The sequence below is a fragment of the Homo sapiens genome, chromosome 17 (genome assembly GCF_000001405.40).
Source record: "Homo sapiens chromosome 17, GRCh38.p14 Primary Assembly".
NCBI lineage: Eukaryota > Metazoa > Chordata > Mammalia > Primates > Hominidae > Homo > Homo sapiens.
This window is the reverse complement of record NC_000017.11, coordinates 9,248,077-9,265,169: the sequence shown is the minus strand read 5'-3', so window position 1 is coordinate 9,265,169 and position 17,093 is coordinate 9,248,077. Positions and strand designations below refer to the sequence as shown.

Sequence of the window (17,093 nt, the reverse complement as noted above, 5' to 3'; positions counted from 1 at the left end):
AGTTTGGAATTTGGGAAGGTGACAGCTTTTTTTTTTTTTTTTTTTTCTTTTCAGACTGGGTCTTGTTCTCTCACCCAGGCTGGAGTGCAGTGGCACAATCATGGCTCACTGTAACCTCTACCTCCTGAACTCAAGTGATCCTCCCACCTTAGCCTCCTGAGTACCTGGGACCACAGGTGTGTGCCATCACACCTAGGTAATTTTATTCTTATTTTTTTTGTAGAGATGAGGTCTCCCTATGGAGCCTAGGCTGGTCTCAAACTCCTGGGCCCAAGAGATCCTCCCACCTCAGCCTCCCAAAGTACTGGGATTACAGGCGTGAGCCACTGCACCTGGCCTTTCTTTTCTCATCTTCTTTACTTTCCGAAGTTACTATGATATATGCATATTGTTTTAAATGCTTTTTCTACTTGAAAATTTAAAACCACATGAAGCATTACTAGTTCACTAGAAATGCCCAGAAAAGGATTTGCCTTCTTGTTCTTATATTACTACTGAGAATTGTTGTTTGCAGTTTGGCAGAACCTACCCATTCTGGTTATCTATTGCTGTGTTTAAAAAATCAGGCTGGGTGCAGTGGCTCATGCCTGTAATCACAGAACTTTGGGAGGTCGAGGAGGGAGGATTGCTTGAGCCCAGGAGTTTGAGACCAGCCCTGGGAACACAGGGAGACCTCATCTCTACACAAAATTTAAAAATTATCCAAGTATGGTGGCATGCACATGTGGTCCCATCTTCTCAGGAGGCTGACGTGGGGGGATCACTTGAGCTCAGAAGGTGGAGGCTACAGTGAGCCGTGACCATGCCACTGCACTCCAGCCTGGGCGACAGAGTAAGACCCTGTCTCAAAAAAGGTAAAAGATCACCCCAAATTTGGCAATGTAAAACAATTGTTTTGCTACACTTCACAATTCTGTGGGTTAGGAATTTGAAAAGGGCTCTGCTGCCTGGCTCTGGCTGAAGATTTTCATGCAGTTGTAATATAGTCAGTATAGTGGTGAAGCTGGAACCCAGTGGGGCTGGCTGGGCATCTCTTTTCTCTGTCTTCTCATGATCTCAGGGTCCTTCCATGTGGTCTCTCCATTTGGACTAATTGGGCTTCCTTGCAGCATGGCAGCCTTCTAGCAGTTGAACTACTCACATGGTGACTATCCTGAAGGAGCAAGGTGGAAGGGTGTGTAATCTTTATGACCCAGAGTCGAAAGTCACAGAGTGTCACTTCTGCCATATTCTGTTGGTGAGGTAGTCACAAAGGGCTTATCAGGTTCAAGGGGAGGGGACCCAGGTCCTACCTCTTGATGAGAGCAATGTCAAAGTCACATCATATGAAGAGTATGTGGTTTGGGAGAGAGAAATGCCGTCAGAAAATACAATTAGCGAGACTATCAAAATAAAAAATGCACATACTCTTTGCCCCAGGATTCCATATGTAGGAATCTATCCTACAGAAATTCGTGTACACGTGCACAAAGGTTTATGTTCAAAGATGTTTACTGCAGCATTCCTTTTCATAGCAAAAATTTTGAAATAACCTCAAAGTCTAGTAACAGGGTATCTTTTGAACAAATTAAGGTATAAAATAGTCTGCAGCCACTAAAAAGATTAAAGGTAGGTCTCTGTGAAAGACATTTAAGACAAATTAAGTGAAAAAAGCTAGTCATTAGATACTACTTATATTAGAATTCCATATGAGACGGAGTTTCATTCTTGTTACCCAGGCTGGAGTGCAATGGCGCGATCTCGGCTCACTGCAACCTCCGCCTCCCAGGTTCAAGCGATCTCCTGCCTCAGCCTCCCAAGTAGCTGGGATTACAGGCATGTGCCACCATGCCCGGCTAATTTTTTTGTATTTTTAGTAGAGGATGGGGTTTCTCCATTTTGGTCAGGCTGGTCTCGAACTCCCGACCTCAGGTAATCCACCCTCCTCAGCCTCCCAAAGTGCTGGGATTACAGGTGTGAGCCACCGCACGCACCCGTCCCTTTTTGCTTATTTTTTAGAGACAGGATCTCACTCTGTCACCCAGGCTGGAGTGCAGTCAACAGATATTTCTGTTGGGACTTTAGCCCCTTCAGAGTAAGGAGATGCAACCCAGACGGGGTGTCCTCAGAGGCAACATCTTGGGACTATCCTTTCAAGACTAAAGTAGTAAAGCAAAAGCATGCTAATATGACTTTTATGTTTTTCCAATTAACTAGACACAACTGGTGATTTTTGCTGATCACTCTGCTAAAAGATCTTGGTTGCAAATAAGCAGAGATGACTTTGGCTCGTTTAGGTTAAAAAACATGTAATTTGTGGCCGAGCGTGGTGGCTCATGCCTGTATCCTACCACTTTGGGAGGCAGGTGGATCACAAGATCTGGAGATCAAGACCATCCTGGCCAACATGGTGAAACCCTGTGTCTACTAAAAATACAAAAATTAGCCGGGCATGTTGGCACGCACCTGTAGTCCCAGCTACTCGGGAGGCTGAGGCAGGAGAATTGCTTGAACCTGGGAGGCGGAGGCTGCAGTGAGCCGAGATCTCGCCACTGCACTCTAGCCTGGCGACAGAGCAAGACTCTGTCTCAAAAAAAACAAAAAAACAAAACAAAACAAAAAAAACAAAAAACACCAAAAAACAAAGAAACAAAAAACATGTAATTTATTTGAGTGATGTTGAGTTATTTGCAGGAACCCGAGGGATGATTGAGCCAACCAAGTATAAAGACAAGTCTGAGCAAAGGCAGGGCCTGGGACCTCCCGAGCTAAGTTTGTGGCCCACCCCTCGAGTGTTACCATTACTGTGACTGAACCCCAATTGTGCTCAGTTCAAAATCCAAAATCCCTGGAGAAGAGAACCTTGTTGGCCTCACTTGAGGTCTGTTGCATCAGCTGTGCGTATGGAGGCAGGGTTAAGTTGAACAGACACGGCTACTGGGCCACCCCAGGAATATGTTGTTTCGATGTATGGAACGCAGGGCTCAATTCAGATCTACCCCATAGTCTTTTGCGTGTTGGTCAAATGATTTCCTTTTAACAAATGAGATAAGCATTTGGTGTATTGACAAAGCCTTATGGTAGCAGCGATGCCTCTCTGCCCTGCCTTTGTAGAACTTTGGTAGTAATACCCTGGTGTCGCCCTGCCAGGTGTCCCTAATTGGTGCCAGGTAAAGTATCCAAATAGGACAAACGGAGGGGTTTGTAATGCCGAATCCACAGCCTGACTGGAACCTTGCAGGAATCTTCCGACAGTCAAGAGGGAATTGTCAAAACAAGATATCCGTAACAGAGTTCCTGACTGTCTTTTCAAAGACACTTGAATTTCTGCCAGACTCCAGACAGATTCACATTCCCAGGGGTAACACACAGCACAATGAAGGGATATTTCTTAGCAAATATTGACGTGCCAGAGAATTGGCATTAAATTATTGGCTTGACAACTCCTAACCTGCTGCTCTTGGTGGCTGATATGAAGGATTATCTATTTACAATTGAATTCTGCCCTTGACTTGTGGCAGTTGCTGAGCTGAGCTTATTTCAGGGAAGGGAAATGAATAACACCTTAAGAACACAGATGGGGCCTACAAACTATTCAGCACTTTCTGTGCAGGAAGCGACAATAGCGGCAGAGTTTTTACACACTCCCTCTAAGGAACGGCTATCATCTGCAGAGTTTCGTGTTTGTGTTGGGCGTGGGTAGAGATAGGGTTGATTTTTCTGCCTTTCTCATGAGACCCGCAGACCCAGGAAGAGCCAGGTATACGTCTTTGCACCCATTGGACCCGACACACAGTAGGCACTCAACAGATAAGAGATCAGTTCTAGTGTGGGTGAGTCTAAGTCTCTTGGGTAAATCTTACCAGGGCAGTGCTGCTATTCAGCACTGGGACAGCCTCACCAGCCACTCTGACCTGACTCGCCCTGGCCGGGCCGTGAGGTCTCACATGCGGTCTCCACTGACCAAGCGGCGGCCTCACCAGAGTCCTGTGGCCGTGACTGCTGCTCCACGGCCACCTGACGCCCAGCCAGGTGCTCATGCCTGGATCCTAGACCCCAGATCCCAGGAACCTGCCTTTCACTAGGCTGCCGTCCAGCTCTCTGCCCCGTCACCTGCAGTCTTCATTCCTTTTAATTTCCTGCTTCTAGACCAGTCCTTTTTTTCTCTCATCCCAACCCCCACCCCTTCCAGGCCACCTTCTCCTGATTCTCTTGCTCCCTCTGGCCCCCAGATGTCTCTCTTCACACCGTTCTCTTTTCCGACAGTTGCTGCCTTCTTTCCAGTTGATTCTTTCCACGTTTCTGTGTTCCTGCAGAGCAGTGCCTCATCAGCCCGGTGCTGGGCACCAGCTCAGGCTGGGAGTGAATTCTCTCCAGGTAGGGGCCTGGCCTTCTGGGGAGAGGGCTGAGTTTCCAGGGTGAGGAGGGTGCCAGGTGCCTCTCTCTTCCCAGTGTTGCCTCAGCACAAACCCACCCAGGCACATGGGGGACACTGGCCTGGCCACTCTAAAGAGCCACCCCAAAAGACCACAGTTGTTTGTTTGTTTGTTTGTTTGTTTGTTTTTCTGAGACGGAGTCTCACTCTGTTGCCCAGGCTAGAGTGCAGTGGCACGATCTCGGCTCACTGCAACCTCCGCCTCCCGAGTTGAAGCAATTTTCCTGCCTCAGCCTCCTGAGTAGGTGGGATTACAGGCGTGCACCACCACGCCTGGCTAATTTTTGTATTTTTAGTAGAGACAGGGTTTCACCATGTTGGCCCGGCTGGTCTCAAACTCCCGGCCTCAGGGGATCCGCCCGCCTTGGCCTCCCAAATTGCTGGGATTACAGGTGTGAGCCACCGCGCCCGGCCTTCTTGACTTTTCTTTTAAGAGACAGGGTCTCACTCTGTCACCCAGGCTGAGGTGCAGTGGTGCAATCACAGCTCACTGCAGCCTCGAACTCCTGGGCTCCAGCAGTCCTCCCACCACAGCCTCCCGAGTAGCTGGGATTACAGCCACACATCACCACAGCCAGCTAATTTAAAAATACTCTTTGTAGAGGTGGGATCTCGCATTGTTGCCCAGGCTTTATTCTTGACTTCTGTTCTTGTGACACTACTACTATTAATATTATTCTTTTTCTTTTTTAAAATTTAAATTAGAGACAGGTTTCCACCATGTTGCCCGGGCTAGTCTTGAACTCCTGGGCTCATGCAATCCACCCGCCGTGACCTCCCAAAGTGCTGGGATTACAGGCGTTAGCCACCATGCCCGGACACTATGACTATTATTTTCATCGTCATTATTATTATTGTTATTTATGCAGCATGGCCAGACGCACAGGCTCCCCTAGGGGCCCCTGGGTTCCTCTCCACCTTTTCTCCCGCGTAGCTGAATGTGTTATAAAGTCGGGTGCTCCTTGTGGTTTGCTTTAACCTTCTCCTCCTCCTGCCTGTGACCCCGTCCTGTGACCCCTGCTCTGACCTCCACTTCCTCACTGGCTTTTAAAAAGTCTGGGCCTTTCACAGTTCCTCTCACCTGGTGTCCACTTGGCTGTGTTCTGCCTGCCTGCTGACCGCCGCCAGCATTCCGCCCAGCACAGCTGCCCTTCCTGTAGCTAATAACTGACACAGAGGCTGCCAGACATTCCACCCTGAACTTCCAACCTTTCCCGGACGCCCTCATCACCGCCGGGCCTCGGAGAGAATTGCTCCCTCTGTTTCTACACTAAATGCCACCCAGGTGTTCCTCTGTTTTTGCTACTCTTCCTTCTCTTTTGGAGAGAGTGACATTTGATTTCTGTTGTTAAGCTGAGAGACTGGCTCTGTTGCAGGACATTTACGGAGCACCTGCGACCACTAGGCACCCGTTTCAGGCAGGGTGTAATTATTACGAGGAGTAATAATTATTGTTGGGAGAGTTACCATTTATTGAGTGCCAGTTATGTTCTAGAAGTTTCATGTACTGTATCTTCCGAAATCCTCACAACAAGCCTGTGAAGTCAGGATTTTTCAGTCTTGTTTCAGAGATGGTAGAACTGAGCTCCAGAGTTAAACTTTCCCAACGTGTCATAGTATACCAGTGGCAGATTAGAAGTCAGGTCTTCTTGACTGTAAAATCAGTACCCCTTCCACCGCACCAGACTGCATTGATCTGTTTTTGGAGATTCTATGGCCTGAGGAAGGAATTATTAATAAAAAAAGAACCAAAGGTGGAAGGGAGTCATTTAAGAGCAATGGCCTTGCTGCAGATACCCTCGGATTCCAGGACAAGCTGGCTGTGTACGGGCTGAGCAGTCTTCATGGAGGACATGAAATACAGAGGATGAGCCTTCAAGGCTTCGGCCCTGCCCTGGGGCGGGTGGAAAATGGGCTGAGGCTACACTCAGAGGGGAGCGGGCAGAGACTCCATTGATGAGTCAGATGCAACCCCCTGGAGCCACAGAGGAAGCCTGGCCCACAATACAGAGAAAGAAAAACCTGCAGAGTTGAGTTGGATGCCAGGCTAAGAACAAAACAAACTCAGAAAACCAGAGATGACTTTTGCCCAGTGTTTTAATGAAAGCATTATTCGGCGGAAATTAAAATGTAGAACTGTGGGGTAAGATAGATTCAAGAGGGGTGTGATCAGAGGCAGGTAGGTCCTCCTCTCCACACCCCCAGTGCCTGGTTTCCCCTGGCGCAGCTGAGCAGCGGCTGTAGGAAGGCTGCTAGTGTCACACTCTGGGTCCCCCAGCAGAGCACACACAGCCCCTGGAGTGGGCAGGTCTGGGCAGAGACCTCAAGCATAGCCACCATTCTCCAGCCTCTCAATCTGGAAATCAGAATGTAAATACGCTCACCTTCTCTGCACGGCGTCTACTCTTTTCTTCGTGTATTTGCCCAGTCGTGGGATTAAAGGGAACATTTACATGAACTTTTGAAGATAAATATTCCAGTTTTGTCTCTTCTCCTGCTTATTCCCCACCTCAGCTCAGGAGTCTGCCGTGAAAAGTCTGTTTGAACAGTGAGACTGATCACTGGTTAATACATAAGCAAATGTCACCTATTGACAGGCACAACTGCCAAAAAAATAAAACAAACTTTAGGAATTGTCCCTAAGAAGTGTCCTCTGTTCATCTTTAAGTTTAGTAGCTACGTGTGGGTTGCCAGTTGGCCTAACTCTTCTGGTGTGAAAAGCGAGGCAAACAAAAAGAATATGCTTTTTTTGTTTTTGTTTTTGTTTTAAACAAAATCTCGCTCTGTCACCCAGGTTGGAGTGCAGTGGCGCAATCTCAGCTCACCGCAACCTCCTCCTCCCGGGTTCAAGTGATTCTCCAGCCTCAGCCTCCCAAGTAGCTGGGATTACAGGCACCTGCCATCACGCCCGGCTAATTTTTGCATTTTTTAGTAGAGACGGGGTTTGGCCATGCTGGCCAGGCTGGTCTCAATCTCCTGACCTCAGGTGATCCACTCGCCTTGGCCTCCCAAAGTGCTGGGGTTACAGGCATAAGTCACCACGCCTGGCCAGAATATGTGTTTTGGTTCAAGACAACCAAAATAGTAGTAGGCAGCTAAGGCGGCTTTCCTTGCAACAAAACCAGATAAAAAGACTCCTGGATAAAGCGCCCTTCACCCCTCCCTGCCTCTTGCTTTCCCATCAGCCTACTTGCCACGTTCCCCTGCAGCTACAGGGCAGAAGTGGCCAACACAGAGATCCACACTCTCTCGAAAAGTCAGCCTCCAGATTCTTTCTCCTCCTTCCCCTCCTCCTCCATGTCAGTAAGCACTGAGAGCTGTTACCTACACCCAACTTGTGGCAGGGGCGTTGGCAGCACAAGCTCCGTATTTTGCTCGTTTCCAGTGTTTCACTGGAAAAAAGTATGGACCATGACTCCAGATGACGAGTCTTCAGAAAACACCATTCCTGAGAGACTGTGTTTAATATCCTCTCCCAGTTTGAAAAGGAGTTTGTTTTCTTACATCTTTTTTTAATTGCCATGAGCTGGACTTGTAAATATTGTAAGTGGTTGAGTAATACTCATCTGGTAAACTGACCAAAGGAAATGGACATTTTTTTCCACTCTTGTAACCCTGGCATCCCATGCCTGCCCCTGAAAGGGACTCTTGAGTATTGGAAGGGAAAATCTGCCTCGCCAGGTGCCAGCGGGCCCAGGGCAGGAGCTGAGTGAAGCGCAGAGAAACGATCCCGAAGTCAGGAGCCGCAGCAGGTGTTCTGTGCTAGGGTTGGGGGCAGAGAGCATTCATTGTTTAAGAAGTTGGCAGCCTCCCAGAAGTTCAACTGTCTTTCCTTGTTCTGAAATGTCAAACATTTCCTTAGCTGGGGGAATGGATGAGTAGACCCCCCTGAGGTTTAAGAACTATTCTGAGGCAGAAGAAGGAAGTTCTGCTTTTCACACGTGACCGAGTACGATGTGAGGTCCCATGTCCCTCCGGCAGGGGGGTCGGCTGCGCCCCTGAAACTGGAGCCACCTTCCTACATCAGAAGAGTTGCCAGCTCTTCCCTGCCTCTGCCTTTAGGAACCGTCAGACCCTCTGTGGTTATGTGGGTAGTGGGGGAGTGTGTGTGTCTTTTTAATGGTGCCTTTTAGTGATACTTACTGAAATATTTGTAGATGACCTATGTCTGGAATTTGTTTCAAAATAATATGCAGGAGACAGGGAGCAGGTGAGGGTTTGCATAAAGCCAGACAGGCCATGAATGGATCCTTGCGAAAGCTGACGGATGGGCTCATCACTGTTCTGCGTGCCCTTCGGTCTGCTTTTGTATATGTTTAAAATTTTCCATCATAAAACGTTAAGGAAGGGAAGGAGGGAGGGAGAAAGAGAAGAGGATGAAAAGAGAAGAAACTCTTGATCCCGGTGTTTCAACCCCAGTGAGTCTGAGCCTCTCTCCCCGAGGGACCCCCACACTGTCTCGAATCAGGATGCCTCCACTCAAGCTCCACTGGTGTAGACAAGGGTGAGCGTGTGGGCAGAGGGGTCCTACCCACCTGGATTCCAATTCTAGTTCTTCCTCTTACCCGCCAGAGGGCCTTAGGTAGGAGAGTTCACCTTCCAGAACCCCAGCTTCCTCAGATATAAAACAGAGATGAGGGTTACTTACTGTGCAGAATTAAACCAAGTAATACACCCATAGCACTTAGTGCCAAACCTGGCACGCATGACTGTTTCATGAACGGTGTGGCTCAGCTTTCCCTGGCTTCAAAAAGATCCCTGCTTACTCATTCCGAAACATCCTTCAGAGGAGAGAAACTCCATTCAGAAAGGTGCCAGAGCTGGGATCACATTCGAAGAAAGCCAAACTTCTTAAAGAAAAAGGATTGCCGTGCTAAGGTAGATAAACACCTTCTCTTTGACCCAAAGAATCCAAAAGACAGCAGTTGGCTTTTGCTTATCGCTGTCACCTGCCATCTTAAAACGACCTCCTCAGTTGACCCTCAGTATATACCAGTTTACTTAAGCCTGTTTAAAGTCTCCCCCTGTTTGCTCTGAAAGGGTTTAAAATATAAAAGCCTTATTTGTCATGGCTCCTAAAATCCTCCTTTTCATCTTGGGACAAGAACCCAGTTTATCACATCTTATCAGCTTACTGTCCAAGATGTCCATCACTCAAGTTCATTTTCATTTATTTATTTATTTATTTATTTATTTATATATTTATTTATTTATTTATTTATTTATTTTGAGATGGAGTCTTGCTCTGTTGCCCAGGCTGGAGTGCAGTGGCACAATCTCAGTTCACCACAACCTCCGCCTCCCGAGTTCAAGTGATTCTCCTGCCTCAGCCTCCCAAGTAGCTGGGACTACAAGCGTGCACCACCATGCCCGGTTAATTTTTGTATTTTTAGTAGAGACGTGGTTTCTCTGTGTTGGCCAGGCTGGTCTCAAACTCCTGACCTCAGATGATCCGCCCGCCTTGGCCTCCCAAAGTGCTGGGATTACAGGCGTGAGCCACAGCGCCTGGCCCATTTTCATTTTTTATAGATAATGTGTGCCCTGTCATGCCTTTCCTGGGGCACAGTTTGTCTAATTCACAGCATCTGTGGTAGAAAAATTAGCAGCTTAGCCACCACTGTATTAATAATAGTTCCACTAGACCCACCCACCATGCGCTAAAACTGTACTATGAAAGGTCTCTGCAGCTCTTCTGTGGAAGAGCATTCTTCTATCTTGTCTCTGTAGTATTGTGGGTTGGCATTGGCCACTTTTTGAATTTTCTTACTCATTGGCCTTCTTGCCACATTTTCTCAGCTTCTCCCTCTCTGCTGACCACTCCTTCTATGCCTCTCTTGACTCTTCTTATCCCTTCCAAAAATTCAATACATTTACTCATTTGTTTTATACACACACACACACATGCACACACGTGCGCGTGTGTGTGTGCCTCTTTCCTGTGCCAGGCTCTGTTCTAGGTACGGGGGATATGGCGGTGAACGAGAACCCACAGTCCCTGGTGTAGATGTTCATGTGTCCAGGAGAGACAGACAGTAACTGAGTACCTAAATAATGATTCAAGGCCGGGCGCGGTGGCTCACGCCTGTAATCCCAGCACTTTGGGAGGCCCAGGAGGGCAAATCACTTGAGGTCAGGAGTTCGAGACCAGCCTGGCCAACATGGTGAAACCCTGTCTCTACTAAAAATACAAAAATTAGCCGGGCATAGTGGTGGGCACCTGTAATCCCCGCTACTTGGGAGGCTAAAGCAGGAGAATTGCTTGAACCCAGGAGGCGGAGGCTGCAGTGAGCCAAGATCACGTCACCGCACTCTAGCCTGGGCGCGAGACTCCATCTCAAAAAAAAAAAAGATTTAATAAGAGTTACCATGGAAACTTAGGGGGGCAAAGAGGGCACAGGTAACTGGAGGATGACAAAGAGTTCTTTGGGAAAATGCCACTGAGTTTGAGGGATTAACTAGACCACGAGTGGGGAGCTCCCGGATGGAAAGGATAGCGCGTGTCGAAGCTGGGAGGCAGGGCCCCTACCTTCTGCATCAGCCTGTTGGGGGCACCGGAGACAGCCAGGATGGCTCAAACACAGCGCGCAGAGTGCGGCTGCAGGGTTGCTGGGTCAGACTGTGCAAGACCCCCTTGGCCACTGTAAAGTTTGGATCTCAGTTTCAGCCACTGGAGGATTTAAGCAAGGAGGTGACCTGATCTCCTTTACATTCTGAAAAGCTTGCTGTAGTTCCATCGTGGAGCAGGGACCGGGGAAAGCAGTCCCTCACTGCAGGGAGCCAAATCAGGGATGGCAGTGACTGCGCATGCCTTGAGGCCTCTTCCCTTGGACCTCACGCTCCGGGTGTATGAACCAAAACCAGATGTGTGTTTTCTTCTTCCCAATCAGTTGTTGTTCTTGATTTCTTTGTTCTTGTCACTTGCTCCGCTCTTCTCATAATCACCCTGATTTGACAATTCACGGTCATTCATACTGGCCTCTGCTCCAGGCCATCAGAGCCTCAGTGTGGAGCCTGCCTTGATGCATGGAGCTTCTGGGCCCAAGTGTCCTCCCAACTGTGATCCCACTGGAGCTTCAGGAGCAGTACCTCTTCCTAAAACACCTCTCATCCTCTCCCTCATCTCCTCAGCTGCCAGCCCCTCCCTGTCATCTTAGGGTGAGCCCAGGCCCTGGAGTGCCAGGGATTGCCCCTTCGCCCCATCCCAGCCTGTGCCTGCCTCCTCATTCTCGTTATCTTCTCCTCATGTTGCGCAACATAAACCTTCACCCAGCCAGGACCAAGTCTTCAGCTGATCACCACACAGGCACCAGAATAACCAAGAACTAGTGAAGCTCCTGCCCAGGGGAGCTTTTGGTCAACCTGAAGATGTTTCTGGAGCAGAAATCAGTGAAAAGATTTGTTCTTCTGCTTCTGGCAAGAAGATGGACTAAGATATTCTCACATACACACACATACGCATACACACACACACCCGTATCCCTACCTTCTCACTGCAGATGGACTAAGATATTCACACACACACACACACACACACACACACACACACACCCCTACCCCTGCCTTCTTGCTGCAAGCATCTTGAAATGTGAGGTAAAATAGTGTAACTCCACCCACCCACAAATGTTAATGCAGGGCTGAATTTACAAGGAAGAAAGGAAATCCCTAGATGAAAGAAATGAAGAGCGCATTGAAGGCCAGCGCCTAAGTGGGCGAACTGATGCTGCAGGTGGGTCATCATCATGATGATGGAGAGCAGGAGCTAGCAAGCCTCTGGAAGAGGCCAGGTCGTAAACGGTTTAGGCTGTGCAGACCACAGACGGTGTCACATCTCCTCCTTTTACCTTTTTGACAACCCTCTACAAATATAAAAACCATTGTTAGCTCATGGGTTGCACAAAAACAGAGCACAGCTAGATTTGGCCCATGAACCAAAGTTGGCAGAGCCTTGAGGTAGACTAGGATGAGGTTTTCATCTACAGGAAGACGGGGGAGAAACCTTGGGGCCCCAAGAGAAGCGTTTCTCAAAAGATTGGATCATCAGAGAAAGAGCCCATATCAGAAAAATGCAACCACAGTCACAGGTAGATGACAAAGAAGCTTGCCCTAGTTTTTTTTTTTATTTTCGTTTTCTTTTTTTTTTTTTTTTGAGACAGAGTTTCACTGTTGTTGCACAGGCTGTATTGCAGTGGTGTGATCTCAGCTCACTGCAACCTCCGCCTCCCGTGTTCAAACGATTCTCTTGCCTTAGCCTCCCAAGTAGCTGGGATTACAGGCACCCACCACCACACCTGGCTAATATTTTTTTTTTTTTTGAGACAGAGTCTTGCTCTGTTGCCCAGTTTGGAGTGCAGTGGCGCAATCTCGGCTCACTGCAAGCTCCGCCTCCCGGGTTCACGCCATTCTCCTGCCTCAGCCTCCCAAGTAGGTGGGACTACAGGCGCCTGCCACCACGCCAGGCTAATTTTTTGTACTTTTAGTAGAGATGGGGTTTCACCATGTTAGCCAGGATGGTCTCGATCTCCTGACCTCATGGTCCGCCCGCCTCGGCCTCCCAAAGTGCTGGGATTACAGGCGTGAGCCACTGCGCCCGGCCAATTTTTTAAATATATTTTTAGTAGAGACGGGGTTTCACCATGTTAGCCAGGCTGGTCTCGAACTCCTGACCTCAGATGATCTGCCCGCCTCGGCCTCCCAAAGTGCTGGGATTACAGGCATGAGGCACCGTGCCCGGCCTATTTTTTTAAATATATTTTTAATAGAGATGGGGTTTCACCATGTTGGTCAGGCTGGTCTCGAACTCCTGACCTCAGATGATCCGCCCGCCTTGGCCTCCCAAAGTGCTGGGATTACAGGTGTGAGCCACTGCACCCAGCCACTTGCCATACATTTTTAAGTCTCTTCAATATTCAAAACCATGGTGCAGTGCCCACATGGGTTGAGCTTAAGATTGGTATGGCCTGATCCACATTGAACCCTGAGGATCTGTGGAGGGGATTCGGGAAGCCCGTGAACTTGGACCGGAAAGCAAATTGGACTCTTATGTTCACAAATGTCTAATTGAAATTTAGCATTTTCTTTGCTCACGAACATATGCCACAGACTACCGTGGCGTTCAGCAGTCCTGATGGCTGTGCAACCATGTGACCCTGCACACGTGGCTCTCCCTGTTACTTTCTGAAGCATTTTCATGGACCTCTCCTCCTCTGCTACCCACCTCTCTCGTGGGGCCTTGGCAGCTCAAGGACTCTTCAGTGAGCAAACCTTTCTTGAGTGCTTACTTTGTAGTAGGGCGCCCCTTCTCTGTTATGCTATACCTTGTCGCCGCTGGTACCTGGCACGTGGTAAACACTCGTTAAATACTGGGCAAGCGAACATGGGAGACAGTGAGCTCATTGCACTAAGTGAGGGCTGCATTCTGTGGGGCCCACTTCATCAGCATCAGGTGAAGGAACAGGCAATGGTCAGTGCAGACACACGACCCAGAGGAGGCAGGGCGGGGCTGGAAGGCAGAGTGGCACCCAGCATGGGCTGGCTAGGAGGGCCTGTGCTCTCCAGCCAAAAACGTCAGGAAATGAAACTAGCAAATACTAGCAGAAAAAGTATATATCAAAACAAGCACCTCTATCGGTGAATATTTTTACAAATGGGTGACTTAAGGATCTTGGACTCAAGAACACAAAGTGAAGCCATGTGGAGAATGGAGAAATGGGTTCTAGAATGCTCTCCTAAGCCCTTTGCTTTATCAATGCGTCATCAATGCATAATCTGATTGGGTAGTGAGGGTGGCTGTCGTCAGCAGCTTGCGCCCTCCCTTGTGGTCCAAGGTGTACACAGATGCTAGAGTTAGGGGCCTCACCCCCTCCTGGCTTGAGTGCTGCCTGGGGGGGCCTGGCCACACCCAGGCCCCTGCCTTCTGCACTCAGCATCCTGCAAAGCCAGAGCTGTGTAGCAGCAGCGGCGCCCCAGGCCACCGACCACCTCTCTCCACTTCGTACAAACTGAAGGCTCAGAGGGAACTACATCCCTCTGAGTCTCTGCAGACACTCAGAATGTGTGATGCTTTTCTGGTAGGAATCATTAAAAGTAGTATTTTCTGCTGCTTTTTTCCAGGGATGATCATGGTGATTTTACTGCTGCTTGTGGCTATCGTGGTTGTTGCAGTCTGGCCGACCAACTGATGGCAGTAAAGAGACCACCAGCAGTGACACCTGCCAATGACAGATGCAAGCCCAACACCCTTTTGGTACGCAAAACCTGCTCTCAATAAATTCCCCCAAAGCTCTGACCTCTTGTGCATTGCTTCAGTAAAGACTTAAAGCTCCGGCCGGGCGCGGTGGCTCACGCCTGTAATCCCAGCACTTTGGGAGGCCACGGCGGGCGGATCACCTGAGGTCGGGAGTTCAAGACCAGCCTGACCAACACGGAGAAACCCCGTCTCTACTAAAAATACAAAAAAAAGTAGCTGGGCATGGTGGCGGGTGCCTGTAATTGCAGCTACTCAGGAGGGTGAGGCAGGAGAATTGCTTGAACCCAGGAGACGGAGGTTGCAGTGAGCCAAGATTGTGCCACTGCACTCCAGCCTGGGTACCAGAGCAAGACTCCGTCTCAAAGAAAAAAAAAACAAAAAAACAAAGACTCAGAGCTCTGGAGAGCTGCCTAGAGCACTGGGCCCAGTTGTGGCCCTTTGAGTTTTGACTTTGGTCATTTTCGTGCTGGCCGGAGGTCCCTCGGGGTCCCCTACCTCATGGTGGCCAGTGGGTTCTGGCCACCCCGCAGTACTCTGGGCATCCTGGGGACACTGGATTAATAGGCAGTTTGAAACCTTGACGTCTGGCCTGCTTGTGGAAGCCACATGTCTGTGTAGGAAATGGGTGTATATTCAAGGCCACGTGTGTCCAGGTAGCGGGGAAGGAGTGAGGTGAGGGCTGTGCGGAGGAGCCACACAGGCCTGTGTCTGAGTGTGTAACCACCACCGTGCTGCTCTGCCCCACCCGAGTCACCCCGCCAGGCTCAGCACTCCTCCTAGGGGTGCCAGCCTCCACTTCACAAAAATATTCCTGTGGGAACTGCTATTAGCCCTGGAAGCGCATTCTTTTTCATCTCCTTGGTGACAATCAACTCTCATCTTTCAGGGCTGACACATCTTTATAAGCAGCCAGAATCAAGTCTGTGGAATAAGGCAGGTGGGGCAGGAGGTGGTCGGGCTGGAAAGCACTGTGGAGGGTTCAGAGGGATGAGATTACCGTGGCGCCTCACCTGGCTCCGACAGAGCCCTGTGTGTTGAGTGTGCGCAGCGCATGTGTACGTGTGTGTGTCTCAGAAAGGGCAGACGGATGGGGCAGGCCTGCGGAGGACGCCAGGCCCATGGATGGCTGAGTTCGTGTTAGCAGGGGTCAGGGGGCCAAGCACCATGTGCTCTCTCTTATACGTGTGGAAAGCAGGCTAGGCCAGCTGGCCTTGCTCTGCCCTCCAGGACGAAAGGGGAAAGAATTAGGGTTGATGATGGGTGATTTCCAAAGCACAAGATTTCACTGAGAAGAAGGTAGGGGATTCACAGCAGGTGAGTTTCTGGTGGATTTGCTCAAGAGGGCATGACCTGAAACCCCCTGTGGACAGAGACACCAGAGAGAGAGCCACGTGTAGCCTGGTGTAATGTCATTTCCTAGGGACTGAGGGCTCCAGGGGTCCCGGGAAGACCTGGGGTCTAGGAGCCCAGACACCTGCCCAGCTCTGACCCAGGCAGATGGGAAAGCCACCATGGTCTCTCTGGCAAAGGACAAGGGAGCTCTGGAAGCTCTCACGCCAGCAGTGACACGTGCAGCCCAGAAGCACACCCATTGCCTCTGCTCACAGCTCACTGGCCAGAGCTCATCACCTGGCCTGCTTCACCACGAGGGGACCAGGAAGTGTCTGGAAGGCCAAGAGCCTGAAATATGCAGTGAACGGCCCTAATGACAGCCACACCACTTACCAGCTCAGAGACCGTGGGCAAGTTACCTTCCTCTGCCTCTGCTCCCTTGTCTAGGGCGTGGAGATGAGGTGTCCTTCCTATTCACAGGGTTGCTGCGAGGACAGAGTGAGTTGGCACACACAAGCACAGAGCGCCCTGCTTGGCTCCGCTGAAAGAAAGTTCCTTCTGGCTGAGGTGGGCAGATCACCTGAGGTCAGGCATTCAAGACCAGCCTGACCAATGTGGAGAAACCCCGTCTCTACTAAAAATACAAAATTAGCTGGGCATGGTGGCGCATGCCTGTAATCTTAGCTACTCAGGAGGCTGAGGCAGGAGAATCGCTTGAACCCAGGAGGCGGAGGTTGCGGCGAGCCGAGGTCGCACCATTGCGCTCCAGCCTGGGCAACAAGAGCAAAACTCCGTCTCAAAGAAAAAAAGAAGTTTATTCCCCAACCCAAGTCTAGGCCCAGTGGGCCAGATGCCTCCAAGTCCACATCTTGGGGATCCTGTCCCATGCTTCCACCTAGTGCAATAGGACAGACTGTTGTGAGGATGTGAGCGTGAACCAGGGCCCAGGACAAGGGCTCTCCTGTCTCTATGGAGCCTGATCCCTGCTTCCAGAGAAGCTGCCAACACATGCAGACCCAGGCTAGCCTTGGGATGTCGAGGCCCTTGAAGCAGAGTTAGAAGAATGAAACGGGCTGCGTCGAGACAGGAGGTGCAAAGGGC

The 17,093-nt window shown here is 49.7% G+C and overlaps 1 protein-coding gene across 3 annotated transcripts in view, besides 1 other annotated feature; it reads left to right on the top strand.

Annotated features, from left to right (window-relative positions):
- STX8 (syntaxin 8) overlaps window positions 1-14,699 on the top strand; it is a 325,350-nt gene extending 310,651 nt beyond the window's left edge. For all 3 annotated transcript variants that reach the window (NR_033656.2, NM_004853.3, XM_011524079.2), the window contains one exon: window positions 14,525-14,699. Coding sequence is in view for 2 of the 3 variants with exons in the window: in NM_004853.3 (NP_004844.1) it covers window positions 14,525-14,592 (68 nt within the window). In the remaining variant the exon portion in view is untranslated. The remainder of the gene's footprint in view (window positions 1-14,524) is intronic.
- Window positions 6,627-7,218: an enhancer, noted in NCBI's record as "H3K27ac-H3K4me1 hESC enhancer chr17:9161269-9161860 (GRCh37/hg19 assembly coordinates)". NCBI's record gives its function as "activates a minimal SCP1, AML or CMV promoter by ChIP-STARR-seq in naive H9 embryonic stem cells {active_cell/tissue: H9 hESC(naive)}" and the evidence as "EXISTENCE:reporter gene assay evidence [ECO:0000049][PMID:30033119]".